This window comes from Homo sapiens, chromosome 11 (assembly GCF_000001405.40).
Source record: "Homo sapiens chromosome 11, GRCh38.p14 Primary Assembly".
Lineage (NCBI taxonomy): Eukaryota > Metazoa > Chordata > Mammalia > Primates > Hominidae > Homo > Homo sapiens.
This window is the reverse complement of record NC_000011.10, coordinates 47,137,127-47,157,481: the sequence shown is the minus strand read 5'-3', so window position 1 is coordinate 47,157,481 and position 20,355 is coordinate 47,137,127. Positions and strand designations below refer to the sequence as shown.

General features: G+C 48.3%; 1 protein-coding gene and 1 long non-coding RNA gene across 8 annotated transcripts in view, besides 1 other annotated feature; one reads left to right on the top strand and one right to left on the bottom strand.

Annotated features, from left to right (window-relative positions):
- Window positions 1–20,355, bottom strand: part of CSTPP1 (centriolar satellite-associated tubulin polyglutamylase complex regulator 1) — a 227,697-nt gene that overhangs the window by 6,904 nt on the left and 200,438 nt on the right. For 6 of the 7 annotated variants that reach the window (NR_103472.2, NM_001278222.1, NM_001003678.3 and 3 more), the window contains 3 exons: window positions 19,753–19,837; window positions 2,221–2,306; window positions 264–459 (listed from right to left, as the gene is read on the bottom strand). Coding sequence is in view for 5 of the 7 variants with exons in the window: in NM_001278222.1 (NP_001265151.1) it covers window positions 264–459; window positions 2,221–2,306; window positions 19,753–19,837 (367 nt within the window). In the remaining 2 variants the exon portion in view is untranslated. Of the gene's footprint in view, window positions 1–263; window positions 460–2,220; window positions 2,307–19,752; window positions 19,838–19,921; window positions 20,167–20,355 lie in introns of all 7 variants that reach the window. The other variant, NR_103471.2, reaches the window with a different exon arrangement.
- Window positions 456–4,035, top strand: LOC124902672 (uncharacterized). The gene is made up of 2 exons (XR_007062668.1): window positions 456–699; window positions 2,959–4,035. It is a non-coding gene; the product is annotated as an uncharacterized LOC124902672 (long non-coding RNA).
- Window positions 4,073–4,152: an enhancer, noted in NCBI's record as "active region_4687". NCBI's record gives its function as "activates an Ori minimal core promoter by ATAC-STARR-seq in GM12878 lymphoblastoid cells {active_cell/tissue: GM12878}" and the evidence as "EXISTENCE:reporter gene assay evidence [ECO:0000049][PMID:35858748]".

Here is a 20,355-nt window from a genome sequence, read left to right as displayed (position 1 = left end):
TAAAATGTTAAGGCCAGTCTGTCACCCAGTAAATTGGTCAACTACAGTGGTCTTGCCTGAGTGAAAGCAGTCCTTTTGAAGTGAGCTAATTGAGAGCCTTTCAGTCAACAACTGGTTTGGGGGCAAATGGCACTGTTACATTATGACCAGCAAGGGCCCTAGAATGCCTGGGCCGCGCAGAACATCCTGCGGAGCTCTGTTCCGCAGCCAGCAGTCCGACCCCCTGGGGCTGGGGGGCTGGGGGCTGCATGCCCGTTCCTCACCTGTACTTGTGCCGATCACACAGGTTTTCCAGACACTGGTAGAACAGCGACGCCTCCACGCCCTCCAGCGTGCCGGCCCCGCCCAAGGCAGGTCGTTGGCGGTGCTGCCCACTGGACGACGTCGGCACAATCACTGTGTTGGGGTTCTTGCCTGACAGCAGGTCCTCATAGATGGCAGCCACACTGTCCAGGAATTCTGGAACCGTGGGGGTGGGGGTGTGGGTGTGGACGGCTCAGGCAGGGAGGACATGTTTTGTCTGTTCACTATGTCTTCCCTTCTCTGTCAGCCCAGTTCCACACCAGCCTCAGTGCTCAGGGCATGGTGTCCTGAGAGCAGAAGTTCTCAACCTTGTTTGACAACACATTGATGAGAGATGACACTAATCTGTGTTTTTGCTCAAATGTCCCATCCTTGGCTCAGTTGTTCCTGGACCAGGTGAGACCTGCCATTGCACACTTTCATAGCACCATAGGCTTTTTTTTTTCTGGCACTTAGCCAGTGAGGAGCTTTCTGTGTCATTAATTGTCTAATCTGTCTCCTTGCTGGAATGCACAAAGGCGGGGTCATGCCTTGTTGGCCTCTCCTGCCTAGCACTGTGCTTGGCACATATTAAGGCCATAAATATTTTTTGGAGGAGTGAACATGAGTATGCTCCCACTGGTAAGCCCCATGGTGTGTGGCCACCTGCCTCTCTACCTCAAGAAAGCGTGTTGGAATACCAGCGAGGAACAGAGAAAGCCTGAAAGCTGCTGATGAGTCAGTCATTTGAAATGGTTTTCAAATTTCGTAGTTGAGCCATTGTTAGAACTGCTGACTTATGGCCCATCTCGTCTCTACACACACCGCTGGGCAGTGTCAGTAATGCTCCCAGCCCAATGTGGTGGCTGTCCCATCCCTCTGGGGGTGCTGTGAGAAGAGGGCTGGGGAGACAGTGAGGGAAAAATGTTCTCCCAGACATGGCTGCTCCTTCTCTAGGGCCCAAGAGCTTCAGAGAAATGGGAAATGACTGGTGCTGCTAAGAGCAGGTGGCGAGACCCCAGGCTCCAGCCCCTAACTGTACAGCCCTTGGGCTGCCATCAAGTAAACAGAATGTGGCGCCCAAATGAGGCCAGGGCTGGCTGGGGACACCAGTTGGCAGGAAGGCCACCTCTAGGATCTAAGGACAGCCTTCTATTTACTGGAAGAGCCTGTTTTAAGCAAGTTTGTTTATGAACACAGTCAGCAATTTGTAAACCCGGCACTCCATTTGATGTCTCTGTGCGTGAGCTGGTGTATATTTATATTTATTTGTCTATATTTATTCCATCTGATTCCAGAGAGACTTAAGGGTGCAGCTGTGTGAATTGGGGAGCAGAGTGGGAGTGTGACAAAGGACTGGTGTATGCTTTTTTAAAGCTGTGGGGTGGAGGAGAATGTGCACCCAAACGCACGATCAGTTGCCAAGGGAGAGACCCTTGAAGGCAGTAAAATAGCAGCGAGGTTGGGAACGCTGGCTTTGGAGTCAGCCTTCAGGTCTGGTCTCCACCACTTATGAGCTGCATGACTGGCTACTACTTCTGTGAGCTTGTCTCTGAAAGGACTCTCTCTCAAGGCTGTTGTCAAGATTAAAGTCAGTGCTGTGCCTGGGACATAGTAAGTTTTCAGTAAGCAGTGAATGCTGTGGATGCTATGGATGTTGTTATTGTCATTATCACTTAAACTGATTTGTTGCGTTGCTGACTGAAAACACTGCGGTGTTCAGTGTCTTCAGGAGGCTGAGGAAGTCGGCTCTGCAGACTGAATCTTGTGACCACCACTGAACACTAGACATCCTGTTAGCGACCCGCAGTGAAGCACACCCCCAAAGGAAGTGGGGAAGAGAAACGTGTGTGCCAGGCACACAGATGGGCAGGGCAGCAGGGCAGGACAGGGAGACAGGGTCCTGTGCGGAGCCAGATGGAGCCCCGGAACACTCACCTGAGTAGTAAAACTGGATCTGGAAGGCAAAGAGGAAATCTGAAAAAGACATCAAGCAGTCCATGGCATCGTCCATGAGCACAATCCTGAAGGGGAAAGAGAGAATCTGAGAGAGAGAATGGGGGAGAGGTTTAAGGAGGGGAGGGAGAGAGGGAGAGGGAGGAAGGGAAAAGTGCGGGGGAGAGGGAGAGAGAGAGCTGTTCCTGGGCCGCCAGTCTCCCCTGGGGCAGCAGGACATTTAGGAGAGGGCTCCCAAAAGCAAGCTCCTCCCAGTCACCTCACTGCTCCATCAATTGGACTCTGCCACCAAACTGAACTGACCACACTGTACCCAGAGCGGGCTCCCGGTTCAGTCTCAGTGGCACCAGCTAGCGGATGGAGCATGGGCAGGGGGTGGCGAGGAGAGGGTGCAACTGTAATGCAGCCAAGGTTTCTTTTCATATACTTAAGCAGTAAATCCTTTCATTCTGCCGTGAGGACCATTTAGTTCAGAATAAATACAGCTGATCAGAAAAGGCAAAAAGAACAGCTAAGGGGTTTAAAGGGTCTTGGCAAGTGGTACTGAGATTTAATAAGCTACCAAAGGGCCAGAACAGCGACAGACACCGCCACCCTGGGGCACAGATGGCAGACAAGGGGAGAGGGCAAAGAGCTATTGGGGAATCTGCACTTGTGAGGGTCAAAACCCACACTCATCTTGTGCTGCCGCCCTGCTCCTCCTTGCATCCATGTTCACAGGTTGCCCACCCAACGGTTTTCCTGTCTCTAGTCCCTCCCACTGAGGACCCACCTCACAGGAAGAAAACCGTCTGACTCATAAAGGGATCCGACCAAGGCTATGTTCATCCTCTGCTCAGCACCTCATCTGAGCCAGGACAAGAAGAGAAGGAAACGAGCGTTTGCTGGGCTCCATCACATGCCAGGCAGGCGCCAAGCTATCAGATGGGGTGGGGCGGGCCCCCAATCTGTTTCTGATCAGGTCCTTCTGGCTTTATCTTTCTTTTTTTCTTTTTTCAGTTGTTTTTGGCCAGGCGCGGTGGCTCATGCCTGTAATCCCAGCACTTTGGGAGGCCGAGATGGGTGAATCATTTGAGGTCAGGAGTTCGAGACCAGCCTGGCCAACATGGTGAAACCCCACTTCTACTAAAAATAGAAAAATTAGCTGGGCATGGTGGGCACCTGTAGTCCCAGCTACTCAGGAGGCTGAAGCAGGAGAAGCGCTTGAACCTGGGAGGCGGAGGTTGCAGTGAGCGGAGATCACACCACTGCACTCCAGCCCGTGAGACAGAGAGAGACCCTGTCAAAAAAAAAACAAAAAAAGTTTTCTTTTGCTCTCTCATATTTTTCTAAATCTCTCTCCACTTCCCTGAGTCAGAGGTTTCCCAGACTGGCAACTGGATCAGCCCCAGAGAAAGCCAGGATTGCTCACTGCTGGGGAAAGGGCTTCACAGAGACTACGATATTGTGGTGCCACTCCCTTTGCTGCGATCTTCCTGAAGAGAGACAGTGGTTCCTGCCTAGTCTTTATTGTAATACAGATAACAATAGAAGCAGGTGCCATTTCCTGAGTGCCCTACTGCGTGGCAGGCTATTGAGGTATTTAACTGCATTCGTTAAATTTTATCCCACAACAATCCTACAGGTGGGTCTTATTATTTCCATTCTACACGTGAAGAGTCTGAGGCTCAGAGGTCAGCCTGCCAAAGTCACACACACAGCTGGGGAGCTTGCTGGACTCCACAGGCCACACATCTTCCATGAGAGCACACTGCCTCTTTGAAAATAAAGCTGCAGAGCAAAAACACTAACATTTTACCTCCTAGTTTCTGTGGCTGATTTATTTTCTTTCTTGTTACTGATATGTTAGGCATCTCCTGGGGAGAACGACAGCTGCCTCCACCACCAGAGTTCAACACTAGAATTCCAGCTGGAAGAAATTCAAGGCTGGAGGGCGGGAAGAAGCAGTGCCGCTGAGGGCCACAAGAGGGTGCCCTGGTCCCTCTGTCAGTAGTTCACAGGACTAAGTGCAGTGCCAAAGGCCAAGTGGTTACCCCATCTCATAACCCAAGGAAAACCCAGGCAGCAGAACAGCTCCCTCCCCACCCAGATGGCAGAATCTGTTTTGACATCTGGATTGAGGGAGCAGGGAGACAGCAGAGAGCGGGCAGCTAGAGAGGACTGGGGTTAGCAAAGACCTCCAAACTGCAGAGGAAGAGTGAGCTCCCCCGGGAGCGCTCAGGGAGCAAGGGCCACCAGCACCTCAAAGCTTTTCCTTGGCAGGCTCAGCAGGGCAGGCAAAGGCTCTGGACATGAGAAGCCACTGACTTTCCTTTACTGCCCTGTTCTCAGGACAGCTGGAGCCCCAATAGTCTAAAGTGAATTACGACAGAACAGCACTGGGCTGTGAATATCCCCAAGCAGGAAACCACCAGGGAGCCCAAGGCTTTCCCCGTGTTCCATGGCTTCTGTTGATCATCAGTTGGAACACAGCACTCCCATAGCAGCAACTTCCACTTGCTATTTATTTACATTGTGATATAATGACACACCATAAAAGTCACCCTTTAAAAGCGTACAATTCAGTTTTTTAGTATATTCACAAAGTAGCGCCACCATCACCACTGTCTAATTACAGAAGTTACCTCCATTTGCAATTCTCACCAATAGGCCCATTCCAGAGCCTGCCTCGGAGCAGAAGCTTGAGCTCGTACTTCCCAAAGGGCTACCCCTGCCTCGCAGCCTCGCGGAAGCCTTAATGCTGAGTGCCACTAGCATCTTCCTCTTTCAGCCACAGATGGGACTAGAAGCTATAAACAGGGCACACCCTTCCAGCCTCAGAAGTGGTCTGCAGCTTTCTGCTAGGGGCCATCTTGACCTCAAACATCAGCAGTCCCTTTGGAGATGGGCCGTTGCAGAAGAGGGGGCGCACACCGTGGGAGGGTAGGAGTGTCCGTCAGAGCAGGGCAGCCCTGCAGGTGCCCTTAATACGGGTAACAATAGAGGCATTTTTTTTTTTTTTGAGTCTTGCTCTGTTGCCCAGGCTGGAGTGCAGTGGTGCAGATCGGCTCACTGCAACCTCCGCCTCCTAGGTTCAGGTGATTCTCCTGCCTCAGCCTCCCTAGCAGCTGGGATTACAGGTGCCTGTCACCATGCCCGGCTAATTTTTGTATTTTTAGTAGAGACAGGGTTTCACCATGTTGGCCAGGCTGGTCTCGAACTCTTGACCTCAAGTGATCCGCCTATAGAGGCAGGTATCTTTCCTGAGTACCCTACCTCATGGCAGGCTATTAAGGCATTTGACTACATTAATTAAATTTTATTCTACAACAGTCCTACGGGTGGGTCTTATTGTTATTTCCATTCTACAGGTGAAGAGTCTGAGTCTCAGAGACTGGGGAGCTGAAACATATGCCGAGCAGGAGGGAGTAGGGGGCGAGTGAAGCGGGTGCAGACAGAGGCGAGGGCTTTCTTTCTGGGGGACATGTGGCTGGATCCCAGCAGCACATGTATAAAGGACTGAGGGTTTTTTTTCAACTGCAAGAAGTAAGACTGGCTACCTTTTAAAAAGCCAAATGGATCCGAGCTTGTGTTAACAGCAACACCGGCTATGACTCTCCTCAACCAGAAACGCTGGGCATACTAGACATCCTGGAAACTTCCCCCCGCCACCCTCTGCTCCAAGCCAATCAACCAGTCACCAAGTCCTATCAATGCTATTGCTGAAATTTCTCTTGAATCCATCTACTTCTTTCCACGTCCACAGCCACCATCCTACCCCCAGCCTTCACCTCTCTTTTCTTGATGATGGCATGACCTCCTACCCAGTTTCCCTGCAACTACTCCTCTTGCTTTTTTTTTTTTGAGATGGAGTCTCACTCTGTCACCAGGCTGAAGTGCAGTGGCTCACTGCAACCTCCGCCCCCTAGGTTCAAGCGATTCTCCTGCCTCAGCCTCCCGAGTAGTACTGGGACTACAGGCGTGCGCCAGCATGTCCAGCTAATTTTTGTATTTTAGTAGAGACGGGGTTTCACCATGTTGGCCAGGATGGTCTTGATCTCTTGACCTCATGAGCTGCCCACCTAGGCCTCCCAAAGTGTTGGGATTACAGGCGTGAGCCTTCTTCTAATTGAGTATCCATCCTGTGGGCAGAAAGATTTTCCTAAAATGTGAATGTGACCATTTTACCATTGTGTTGGAAACCCTTCACAGAGGCCGGGCACAGTGGCTCATGCCTGTAATCCCAGCTACTCAAGAGGCTGAGGCTGGAGAATCGCTTGAACCTGGGAGGTGGCCATGTCAGTGAGCCAAGCTTGTGCCACTGCACTCCAGCCTGGATGACAGAGCAAGACTCCATGTCAAAAAAAAAAAAAAAAAAAAACCTTCACAGTCTTCCCATTGCCCTTAGGACACGTTCCCCCATTTGGATCTGGCCTGTGAGCCCGCTCCATCTGCCCCCTGCCTCCCTCGACTCCCCCACTGCATTCTGGCCACACTAGTCCTTCCATCCTCCCTGAAGCTGTCCTTACTCATGCCCTCCAGACAAGTCTGTCCCTCTAGCCATAATGCTCCCTGTCCCTTCTACCCATGATGCTCCCTGCCCTCCATGCCTCCTCCTCACCTACCGGATATCTCCATATTCTTCAGGCTGAAGCCTCCACAGCATCTCTTGGGGAAGATGAAAGAGGAAAGCACCTTTTCTAACCCAGCCTAGAATAGGCCCCCCTGCTACTGGCTTCTGCAGTTCTCGGAAACCTCCTCACACTGTTGTCTTTGTCCTGGGAACATAAGATCTACCAAGTGACACCTCTGTCTCCCTGCTTGTGGCTTGACTCTGGTATGGTGTCTGGCACATAGTAGGCACTCAGTCAACGTCTGTTGAATGAAGAAATGCATGAACAAATGAGTGAGAGAAGCCACGGTCCCCTTTTCCTCTGGCCAGGTGGCACCTGGAGCAGTTTCTTAATCCCTCTCATAAAGATACTTACAATCTTTATGGAGAATGCAGACATTCAGAGGGATTAAGAAACTTGGCGAAGGTTACAAGCTAGGAGCAAAAGAGCTGTCATTCAAATACTACTACCTTCAGGTCTGGACAGTCCGTTTAAGGGGAGTAAACTAGAGTCCTGGAGAAGAGGGTCAGGCTGATGGACAGTCTAAAAACCAGGATACTGGATAAATGGCTGCATTTAGATCTTTTGCTTAGAAGTGAAGACTAGGGAGGAAGTGAAGGCTGAGACCCAACTCTCAAAGGACTGCCTCTTGGGGAGATGCCACGGGGATCTAGAGTTTGGCTCTAGAGACATTTTCAAGCTGCTTAGTTCTAGGATTGTGGCTGATTTGTAAAGGAATGAGATGTGTATTGCCAGAAATGTTCAAGCAGAAGTTTGAAGGCTCATACTTCCCAAAGGGCTTCTTCCAGCTCTGACAGTGTTGTCCCAAGGGTGGACAGAACTAACAGCTCCTCCTGTTAGTGTTAAATCTAGTGGGGGGACAGTTTGATGTTCAGAGGTCTATGGCTGCAGAAGACTTACTGAAAGGTGCTTTTAATCACATCATATGCTGTGCTGTCTGTCTCCAAATGAATGCTGAGACCATGAAAGTTCTAGGCATCTGTGTCTTTAACCCACCTATGGGATCTTTCTGGCTGTGGGCATCTGCATCTTGCTTTGGAATCTCAGCAGAACTATGGGAAAAGGCAAGCAGGAAGCTCCTGGTCTGTCTTTGCCTCTTTGCCTTTGCCTGCAACCCTTCTATCCCCACAGACAGCTCCTTCCTTCTGAACTCAAGCTCATTGCCACTCCCAGAGGGCTCGGGAAAGAATCTTCTTGGAGACGAGGTCATCCCCATGTGCTGTTTTCCAGTTGCTGGCAGTTGGCTCAACACCCCTTCCTGCCAGAGGCCTTCTGCTAACGTGCCAGCTGCTTCTGACACCTGGAGGTGCCCGGCCGCCCCTGCTTTGAAGTGGAGCCAACAGGGAGCTGCTGCCAGTGAGAGTCTGCACAAATCTATTGGATCATGGAGGGACCCTTGCGGACCATGCCTCCGGGCTAGAGAGAGGGACTCTTGGGGAGAAGTAGAGGCACTTTGGTTCAGGCTGTGCTGAGCAGAACCATGTGTGGGGTGGAGCCTAGGACAGGCAACTGGAGTGGAGAAAGAGCACGTGGCTGGTCTGAGAGACTGGCCACTTTCTCCCTCCCCTGCTGACTTCCAGCAGCTGGGATAGGCAGTCTGGCTGGGAGTTCTAAGGGTGCCAAGGAAGCAACAGCTTCCAGCCTGAACCTACTGACTTGCCAACTTCCTATTCACCCCTAATTAGGGTCAGTTTCCCTGGTCTAGTGGCACGGGCTGCACCGGTTTTCCTGAAGTTCTGGATTAGTTGACCCCAGGATTAAGTCCTAGTTCCACTACTCACTGGCCAAGTGACAATTTCCCTCTGAGCCTCAGTTTCCTCATCTGTGAAGAGGATATAATCATAGTTCCTGTTTCCCAGGATTCTTGTGGAGAGTCAGCATGATGATGTTATATATGCTAGTGTCTAACAGGTGCTCAGAATGAGCGCCGGCTGTAATCAGTAAGTATATTCTATCTGGTTTAAAGTGCTGGGAGAGCCCAAAAGAGCAAATAAAAATAGAGCCCAGAGGAAATGCGTGCTGCCAGCATCCACCAGGCAGAGGTCTCAGGCAGAAGCCAGCGATCTAGTTTCCAGTTTACTTTTGGGGGAAGCCAGCCCTCAGCCACGGCCAGAAAGAAGAGCCACTTTCCATGACTGGACTTCTTTGAGGAGGTCACATGACTAGTGTCAGTCATGTGGTGGCTGGAGGGTGTCCCCAAATCAAGGTGTCAGTCATGGGGTGGCTGAAGGGTGTCCGCAAGTCAAGGTGTCAGTCATGGGGTGGCTGGAGGGTGTCCTCAGGTCAAGGTGTCAGTCATGGGGTGGCTGAAGGGTGTCCCCAGGTCAAGGTGGCAGTCATGGGGTGGCTGAAGGGTGTCCCCATGTCTGTTTGGGCTCACAGTGCACCTCTAGGGTTTTTGTTTGAATGTCAGGGCCATGAGAGAAGCAGCGATGACACGATGTCTGGTTACCTTCTCCAGGTGGGAGGAAAAAGGCCGCTATGAAGGTGTCCTGGGCCATTTCCTGAGGGTTGCTCCTCTTCTGGACTGTGTTGGAGGCACACTCGTGCTGCACAAGCTGCCTCTAGCCTAGGGCCTTGAAGTGGCGTGGGGTGTCCAGGTCATTGCTCTGCCCTAGCTCCAGCCCGCACCTCCAGGGTATCCCAAACCCTACTTGCCCTGAAATGCCTAAGACGCTTGATCCAGAGGGTGTGGGAAACAATATGATGATGATGATAATAATAGTGAATATTCACCAAGGGCTTACTCTGTCAGCACTACACACCCATAAGTTCATTTTCTGCTCGTATTAATCCTATGAGGTCAGTTCAGTGAGTATCTTTATGGAGAACGCAGACATTCAGAGGAATTAAGAAACCTGACTCAGGTTACAAACTAGGAGCAAAAAAGCTATAATTCAAATACAGGCCTCTCTGACGCTAGTCACAGTTCCGAGACCACCTGCAGCCACTTCTGGTAAGAAAGAGTGGACTCTGTGCTGTCTCGTGGTAATGAAGCCTTCCTGCTGCCCCTTTCCCTTCTCCCAGCCTGAGTGTTTGTTAGAGCAGCTGCCCGCAGAAGGACTGGAAGATTTGGCCTGGGTGCTGCTGCTTCCCTGTAGACAGCCTGAAGGTGTCATTACTCTGGAACTTCCCAAGAAGCCTGAGAGCTAGGGGTGAACTGGTCCACAGACCTTAGAATAAAGACCCAAACCCAATGTATGGCCTGTAAAGCCCCACTTTCCCTCCCTCTGCCCTCAAATGCCTCAAATTCCAGACCTACTGGCTTCTCTTGGTTCCTCCAGGCCATCATTGGTGAGAGCCTAGCTTCTTTTCCATGCTGCTTACTTTCCCTGAAATGCTTTTTGCTCTCATTGCTCTCTACCTAATCCCCCCATCATTTTTTATTTAAAGGAAATGTTTAGAACCTCAGAAAACTACAGAGAATAACATAACAAACACTTGTGTCCCCACTAGCCAATTTTATCAGACCATAACGTCTTACTATCTTTGCTTCAGTTTTTAAAAGCTTTGTAAAATGCAGCATTACAGATACCATTTCAGCCACCTGTGCACCCCTCCCTCATCCTATCCTCTACCTTTCTTCCTGGGGGGATCACCATGATTTACTAAAACTTGGGAGTCTAGCATTCCTCTGCATGTCTTTATACTATAATTAACTCATGCAAATGTCTGTGTTCTTAAAACATTATATAGCTTTGTTTTGCTTTTTCTCAAACTCTGTGTCATTCTGTAACTTTGATATTTTGAGATTCATCAGGATTGATGCATATATAGCTATTCATTTTAGCTGCTGGAAAGAATTCCACAACTATGGTATGAATATGCCACACTTTATTCTTTCCTTCAGCAGAGGGACGTGCAGATTGTTCCAATGGCGGCCATTACAAACAATACTGCATGTTTCCTTATTCCCAGGAGTAGCTCTTGAACTTTAAAAATTTGCCTAAATTGTCTGAAAGTAATTGTAACAATTTACACTCCCACACACAGTTTATGAGAGTTCCCACTATTTCACATCCTCACCAATATTTGTATTATGAGACTTTAAAATTTTTGCCAATTTGATAGGTATGAAGTGGTATCTCAATTTAGTTGGGAGTTTCCTGATTACTAGTGAGTGTGGGCATGAAAATATGCCCAAAGGTTTATTACTAATGTTCTTCTGTGCATTGCCTGTTTATATCTTTGGACTATTTTTCTACTGAGATCCTTAATCTTTTTCTTATTGATTTGTAGGAATTCTTTTTTTTTTTTTTTTTTTTGAGACAGAGTTTCATTCTTGTTGCCCAGGCTGGAGTGCAGTGGCACGGTTTCGGCTCACTGCAATCTCCACCTCCCGGGTTCAAGTGATTCTCCTGCCTCAACCTCCCAAGTAGCTGGAATTACAGGCGCCCGCCACCATGCCCGGCTAATTTTTTTGTATTTTTAGTAGAGAGGAGGTTTCACTATGTTGACCAGGCTGGTCTTGAACTCCTGACTTCAGGTGATCCACCCGCCTCGGCCTCCCAAAGTGCTGGGATTACAGGCGTGAGCCACTGTGCCCAGCCAATTTGTAGGAATTCTTTATTAAAAAGTTCTTAGCTGGGTGTGGTGGTGTGCACCTGTAGTCCCAGCTACTTGGGAGGCTGAGGCAGGAAAACTGCCTGAGCCTGGGAGCTTGAGTCTAGCCCCAGCAACACAGCAAGACCCCATCTTAAAATAAAATAAAATAAAATAAAATAAAATAATTTACGGAAAGCTGAGGCAGGAGGAATGCCTGAGGCCAGGAGTTCGAGACCAGCCTGAGCAACACAGCAAGATCACTGCCCCCATCTCTACAAAATAAAAAATTAGCTGGGCTTTGTAGAACGTGCCTATGGTCCTAGCTACTCAGGAGGCTGAGGTGGGAAAATCACTTGAGCACAGGAGTTTGAGGCTGTAGTGAGCTATGAATGCACCACTGCACTCCAGCCTGTGTGACAGAACAAGACCTCATTTCAAAAAATAATAACATTTTTTAAATAATTTTTTTTGGGAGGGACAGAGTCTTGCTATGTCACCCAGGCTGGAGTGCAATGGTGCGATCTCAGCTCACTGCAACCTCTGCCTCCCGGGTTCAAGCAGTTCTCCTGCCTCAGCCTCCTGAGTAGCTGGGATTCCATAGGTGCGTGCCACCCCACCCGACTAATTTTTGTATTTAGTAGAGATGGGGTTTCTTTTTAGTAGAGACGGGGTTTCACCATGTTGGCCAGGCTGGTCTCGAACTCCTGACCTCAAGTGATCCACCTGCCTTTGCCTCCCAAAGTGCTGGGATTACAGGCGTGTGCCACCATGCCCAGCCAGAATAAGAATGCAGGCAATACAGCCGGGTGCGGTGGCCCACGCCTGTAATGCCAGCATTTTGGGAGGCCGAGGCAGGCAGATCATAAGGTCAAGAGATTGGGACCATCCTGGCCAACAGTGTGAAACCCAGTCTCTACTAAGAATACAAAAATTAGCCAGGCATGGTGGTGCGTGCCTGTAGTCCTAGCTACTTGGGAGGCTGAGGCGAGAGAATCGCTTGAACCTGGGAGGCGGAGGTTGCAGTGAGCTCAGATCATGCCACTGCACTCCAGCCTGGTGACAGAGCAAGACTCTATCTCAAAAAAAAAAAAAAAAAAAAAAAAAATGGCAGGCAATACTTTAAATCAGTGGTTCTCAACGTGTGTTTCCCAGACCATCAGTATCACCTGGGAATTTTTTAGAAATATAAATTATTGAGCCCCGCCCTAAACCTACTGAACTCTGGGGATGTGGTCCGGCCATGTGTGGTTTAACAAGCCCTGCAGGTGACTCTGATGCATGCTCAAGTTTGAGAACCAGTGCTTTAAATCTTCACCCTTGGAGCAGAGCTTCCCAACCCTTTGTCACTTCGGCCTCAAATGACTTACAGATGTGATGGTCCCCTTGGCCCAGCTGGGAGGAGGCCAGAGCCTGCAGGCCAATCACAAGAAGTCTTGTCTTTACTGGAGATTTTTGTTATATATTATTTTCTGATTGCTGTGAAGTGCAAAAAGGCCAGGAAGCATTGCCTTTGGAAACCCAGGAACATCTCATTTTTCTTTTAATCTGGTACTATTAATAATACCAACATAATTGTAACAGCAAGAAATTACTACTGGCCAGGCGTGGTGGCTCATGCCTGTAATCCCAGTATTTTGGGAGGCTGAGGTAGGCAGATCGCTTGAGGTCAGGAGTTCGAGACCAGCCTGGCCAACATGGTGAAACCCCGTCTCTACTACAAATACAAAAAATTAGCAAGGCGTGGTGGCGGGCATCTATAATCCTAGCTACTTGGGAGGCTGAGGCACAAGAATCACTTGAACCCAGGAGGCGGAGGTTGCAGCGAGCTAAGATCACGCCACTGCACTCCAGCCTGGGCAACAGAGCAAGACTTCATCTAAAAAAAAAATTATTACTGATTTAATGTCTACAATGTGGTAAGCAGTGTTCATGGTTTTGTTGGTGTTACTGAAATCTTACAAACACCCTATGAGTTAGTTACTATTATTATTATCATCCCCATTTTACAGATATAAAAACAGGGCTCAGAGAAGTTAAGAGATATCCTCAAGGTCATCCAGTTAATGGGGCACAGGTGGGATGTACAGTAGATCTTTCTAATGCCATGGGGCCTGTGTTCTTCTAGGTCAAGGTTAATATTACCATTTCTAACGATTATGACAAGTTTACTCTGTGCCAGCCACCATTTTAAGCACATCATATACTTCTCCTTCAATCATTACAACTATTATTATTCCCATTTTACAAGTGAGGAAACAGGCTCAAATTAAATACCTTTCTCAAGGGCACAGCTAGTATATTGTGGAACCAGGATTTGAACTCAAGAAGTCTGGTTCCAACTGCATGCTCTTAACCATCCAGAAAGCTTCCAGTCCATGGAGGATGGGGAGTGGGAGATGCTGTGGTGATCATCTGGGGATAAAAGAACTACTCCAGTTGCTGCAGGAATATGTGAGGTGGAGGGGATCTCTGGCTTGGCTGCTGTCATGGAGTCTGTTTGCTTTTTCTTTTCCTGTTTTTCCAGCTCACACCTGCTGCCCCAGGGCCTGGCCATGATGCTTGTAGCACATAAGGCAGGCGCATGTGGAGACACCATGCCCCTGAACAGGCTCCGGCTTCCAGCTGCATGTGGATTACATTCTTTTACGCACACATCATCACAGACTGGAGCCTGCTTCTGCAGCCTGTCCCCAGACTTCAGTGTCCTGAATAAAGTAAGCCTGGCAGTGAAATGGGAGAGGGCAGTTCCTCTTCTAGCAATAGTAACTGCCTTGAAGTCTCTACCACCTCCATTTGCAGTTCTGATCAGATGCATAGGTATGTGTGTGGGGAAGCTGGGACCCTGATCTTCAGGACAAAATGAGAATAGTTTACAAAATCAGGGGATGCTTTCTGGGATACATACAATTTTTCTACATATGCACCAGCTGCAGTACAGTGGGGAAAGCATGGCATTGGGAGGAGAAGTTGACACAGAAGCTTGATGCTCATACTCGGGGAGAAAACAAACTTATCCTAATTCTGAATTCATCTCTAACTGCAGCCAGTGCCATGTGGGTTACCCTTGGCCCTTCTGTTGTTACTGCCATTCCCATAATTCCCTCAGACTGCTATTGATATGGACTGGCTACGATGCTTCCTCCTGCTCAGACAGAAAGGTCTGAGGTGTCTGTCAAACAGCAGGCCTCTAGGTGAGGAGTGGGTAAGTTTCCAGCCGCAAATAGAGGAATACCATTCCAGAAGCCCCTTGGTATCAATAACTGTACAATTCTACCTTGGTATCGAGAATTTTTGGTTCTTACAGGATTCTACCACCTACACTCAAATCTTGTGGTGCTTTCATGTATCAGATTGTTTGGAAGGGTCTGAGGAGACAGCTGGGGCAAATGCAAAGCTGTGGCTGCGGGGGGCTAAGATGCATTTTGAAGCCTCACTCTCATAAGCTCCCTCACATCATGGGAAAGGGAAAAGAGGTCAGTATTCTGGAGTGATTGATCAAAACCAAGGTCATACGTCACAGAGTGGTGGCAGCCAATGACCAGTACCTAAGCAGTCCCCTTCTATATCAAGTTCTTTGAGGGGCAGGAACTATATCTTATTCATGACTGTATCCCCATTTGCAGAATAGCTCCCGGCACAAAATATGCACTCAAGAAACATTTGGCGAAATGAAGTACTGATACATACAGCAAGATGGATGAACCATGAAAACATTGTGCTATTAGGTTGGTGCAAAAGTAATTGCAGTCTTTGCCATTGAAAATAATGGCAAAACCACAATTACTTTTACACCAACCTAAAACATGAAACTAGTCACAAAAAAAACACTTTTTTTTTTTTTTTTGAGATGGAGTCTCACTCTGTCACCAGCCTGGAGTGCAGTGGCGCGATCTCGGCTCACTGCAACCTCTGCCTCCTGGGTTCAAGCGATTTTCCTGCCTCAGGCTCCCAAGTAGCTGGGACTACTGGCGTGCATCACCACGCCCAGCTAATTTTTGTATTTTTAGTAGAGATGGGGTTTCACCATGTTGACCAGGATGGTCTCGATCTCTTGACCTCGTGATCCACCCACCTTGGCCTCCCAAACTGCTGGGATTACAGGCGTAAGCCACTGCACCTGGTCGTGGTTTTTTTTTTTTTTTTTTTTTTTTTTGAGACAGAGTCTAGCTCTGTTGCCCAGGCTGGAGTGCAGCAGCATGATCTCGGCTCACTGCAACCTCCACCTCCCGGGTTCAAGTGATTCTCCTGCCTTAGCCTCCTGAGTAGCTGGGATTATAGATGTGCACCACCATGCCCAGCTAAGTTTTGTATTTTTAGTAGAGACAGGTTTCACCATGTTGGCCAGGCTGGGTTTGAACTCCTGACCTCAAATGATCCTCCTGCTTCAGCCTTCCAAAGTGCTGGGATTACAGGCGTGAGCCACTATGCCTGGCCAAGACCACATATACAATTCTACTTATTTGATTTTTTTTTTTTTTAAAGACAGAGTCTCACTCAGTTGCCCAGGCTGGAGTGCAGTGGCACAATCTCAGCTTACTACAACCTCTGCCCCCCAGGCTCAAGCAATTCTCCCACCTCAGCCTCCCAAGTAATTGGGACCACAGACGCACACCACCACGCCTGGCTAAGTTTTTGTATTTTTGTTAGAGATGGGGTTTCACCATGTTGAGCAATCCTCCCCACTTAGCCTCCCCAAGTGTTGGGATTACAGGCATGAGCCACTGTGCCTGGCCTCAATTCTACTTATTTGAAATGCCCAGTGGATAAATCTACAGAGCCAGAAAGTAGATTAGGGGTTGCCTAGGGTTGGGGAAGACGGTGGAGTGGGGACTGAAGAGTAATGGCTAAGGGGTGTAGGATTTCTTTTTAGGGTAATGAAAACATTCTACAATGGACTGTGGTAATGGATGCACAACTCTGGAAATATATTAAAAGCAATTGAATTTTATACTTTAAATGAGTGAAGTGTATGGTATGTGAATTGTATCCCAAAAAGCTGTTAAAAAGAAACATTTGATGAATAAACAAATGAACAAATGAATATAGGATATAGTTGTTGCAGGTTCACACCATTCTCCTGCCTCAGCCTCCTGAGTAGCTGGTACTACAGGCACCCGCCAACACGCCCGGCTAATTTTTTTGTATTTTTAGTAGAGATGGGGTTTCACCATGATAGCCAGGATGGTCTCCATCTCCTGACCTCGTGATCCGCCTGCCTTGGCCTCCCAAAGTGCTGGGATTACAGGCGTGAGCCACCGTGCCCGGCCTTAAGTTCGGTCTTTAAGGATGCTGAGTTTATCTCCCCAGATTTTGGGGCTGAATATTCCTTAAAACAATCTGGGCCCAGGCTGGCTGTGGTGGCTCATGCCTGTAATCCCAGGCACTTTAGAAGGCCTAGGTGGGCAGATCTTTTGAGGTCAGGAATTTGAGACCAGCCTGGGCAACATGGTGAAACCCCGTCTCTACCAAAAATACAAAAAAAAAAAAAATTAGCCGGGCATGGTGTGCACACCTATAATCCCAGCTACTCAGGAGGCTGAGGCAGGAGAATCACTTGAACCCAGGGAGAGGCGGGGTGAAGGCTGCAGTCAGCCAAGATTGCACCACTGCCCTCCAGCCTGGGCTACAGAGTGAGATTCTGTCTCAAAGAAAACAAACAAACAAACAAAAATGTTTTTAATAAAATGATTTCTGCCCAAAGGGGAACGATCATGGAAATTTAAAGCTAACTCCATTTGGCTGCTTTTAAATTACAAGAGATAATCTCCCATACTTTTTTTTTTTCAGTGAAGAAAAAAAATATCCAAATCTCCTTTGGATAGCAGATAAATTAAAATTATAAAACCTGAACTGCGGCTTTTACCAGTGGCCAGTTGCCATCAGGAAAGAAAATTATCCACTGAATAATGAGGGAGAAAAAAACCTACAAAATTTTGCATGTGTGATCACTAAACAGGTTTTGCACATGACCAGCAAAAGTAGGTCATGAGCTGTTAGCTGCAAAACACCGTGCCCCACCGTGAGGCTGGTGTCTGTCACTGGGAGCAATGGAGTTCCCATCTTCCAAGTCAATAGAGGAGCTGGTTGGCACATTTCAAAAGGAGCGAGGTGATTCTTGGTGCAGTGCAGCCAATGCAGCTTTGTTTTCAGTGGGTCAAACCACAAAGCAGAAATGATGCCATGACACAGGGAGGTGGGAGCATGAAGAGACTCCTTGTGCTCCCGATCCCCCATCTCTGGATTCAGGCTGACTGCGGTTCCAGTTCTGCCACTGCTACTTACAAGCTATCAGTATATTCGCACAACATTGTCACCCGTCTGAGCCTCAGTTCCCACTTCAGTGAAGTGAGCAGTAACAGTACCCTTCCCTCAACTGGGGTTCATCACTTTCATGCTCCCTTTTTTTTTTTTTTTGACGTTCAGTCTCACTCTGTCCCCCATGCTGGAGTGCAGTGGCACAATCGGCTCACTGCAACCTCTGCCTCCCAGGTTCAAGTGATTCTCCTGCCTCAGCCTCCCAAGTAGCTGGGATTACAGGTGCCTGCCACCACGCCAGGCTAATTGTTGTATTTTTAGCAGAGACAGGGTTTCACCATGTTGGTCAGGTTGGTCTCGAACTCCTGACCTCAGGTGATCCATCCACCTCGGCCTCCCAAAGTGCTGGGATTACAGGCATGAGCTACCACGCCCAGCTGCTTTCAGGCCCTTCTGGTCTCCAACCGCAACCCTCTTCATCACAAGTCACTGCCAACCCTTGCCTCCTCTTTTCTCAGAATATCCTCTAGGGGTGTGTGTGGGAGTGTGGGTATGTATTTGTGTGTGTGTTTTGTTGTTTGCCTAATACTCTCACCACCCTCCAACTCTGTCTTCAGAGCCGGAGGCTCCCCACAGAAACCACAAAGGATCATTTTAAAGGGAAGTAACAGTTTTTACAAGGATTAGGTGAGATAGTTAAGGTAAACAAATTTAAATAGAACAATGAAGGTAAATGCATTCAGTATGATATAGGGAAGGTAGGCATTCTTCGATAAACATGATTTTTGCTGTACGTCCATTTGCAACCCTAGCTCAGGTTTTTTTTTTTTTTTTTTTTTTTTTTTTTTTTTGAGACGGAGTCTTGCTCTGTCGCCCAGGCTGGAGTGCAATGGCACGATCTCTGCTCACTGCAACCTCCGCCTCCCAGGTTCAAGCGAATTCTCTTGCCTCCACCTCCCGAATAGCTGGGACTACAGGCAAGCGCAACCGTGCCTGGTTAATTTTTTGTATTTTTAGTAGAGATGGAGTTTCGCCATGTAGGCCAGGCTGGTCTTGAATACCTGGCTTCAGGGGATCTGCCTGCCTTGGCCTCCCAAACTGCTGGGATTACAGGCGTGAGCCACCGTGTCTGGCCTAGCTCAGGTTTTGAGTTAAGTAAGTAAAAGTTAACTGAGGCATAGTCCAATTACCTCATGTGGTTAAAAATTGTGAATGATGGTGAAACCCAACACAGAAATTAGGGGCTTCTAACTATTTCTGCCAAGTCCTGGTTCTGGACTGATCTTGAAAACCTTCTTCTGGCATAAATAATATAATGTGCCTTTCCTTCAACTGGGGCTTTATCACCTTTATGCCCTTCCAGTCCCCAACCTCAACTCTCTTCATCACAAGTCACTGCCAACCCTTGCCCCCTGATATGGTTAGGCTTTGTGTTCCCACCTAAATCTCAACCCGAATTGTAATCCCCAGGTGTTGAGAGGGAGACCTGGTGGAAGGTGATTGGATCACATGGGCAGTTTCCCCCATGCTGTTCTTGTGATAGTGAGTGAGTTCTGAAGACATTTGATGGTTTTATAAGCGTCTGACATTTCCCCTGTCTGTACTTCTCTCTCCTACCACCATGTGAAAAAGGTCCTTGCTTCCCCTTTGCCTTCCACCACGATTGTAAGTTTCCTGAGGCCACGCGGAACTGTGAGTCAATTAATCCTCTTTTCTTCATAAATTACCCAGTCTTGGGTAGTATCTTTACAGTAGCGTGAAAACACACAAATGCAGCCCCTCTTTTCTCAGAATATCCTCTAGGGTGTGTGTGTGTGGGGGTATTGGAGGGGTCTGGGCTTTTTCTGCCTCTTCATCTCACCACCCTCCAACTCTATCTTCAGACCCTGAGGCTCCCCACAGAAACCACAAAGGATCATTTCGCTTCCCTTTGGAAATGCAGAATGTATTATGTTTTGGGGCACATCCCAAATAGACCCCTCTCCCACTGCCAGTTTCTTCCCTAAATGCTCCTTTTTTTCATTTGTATACACTCCAGGTTTCTCTAGGAAGCAGTGGCCCACAGAGAGCTGAGTTGGTTTCAAGAGTCCAGGAGACGTACCTGGCTGCTTTCTGAGTGAGCTCCAGCGGGAAATCAGGACACAGTAATTGCAGCAAACAGTGATATTCTTTCATGGTCAGCAAATCTGAAGTGGAAATGGAGAGGAACACATTAGGTCTCTGCATTTCAAGTCACTGCCCTCTTTTTGTTCATTTCATGAGTTTCAGACCTGGTCTTGGTAGAGCTGTTCTTTTAAAAGCAAGTCAGTGTGAAGGGTATGCTAGTCTCTAACCTCCAGGTGTGAGATTTTAAGATCAGTATTTCTACAAAGCTTTTCCAGGGTGGGAGGCATCCAGTTACACCATTTTGACCAAAGGAGCTTCACTGGTATGAAAATTGGTCGGGTGAAGAGAGCAAACAAGAGAGGCACCTTCATCAGTCTTCTTTAGTTTGGTTTTCCTTGTATATAAAAATCTGGAAGAACAAGTCATTTCAAAGCCGGTTAAATTTGCTGAAATTCTCTGGCATGGTAACGTTTCCCACCACATGCCCAAAGACCATCCACAGAATATCTGGAAGCAGTACTAACGCAAACAGTCTTGCTGTGTAGGGAGAAGAGTACAGCATAGAAACCCACAGACCTCATTACTCTGTCATCCAGTA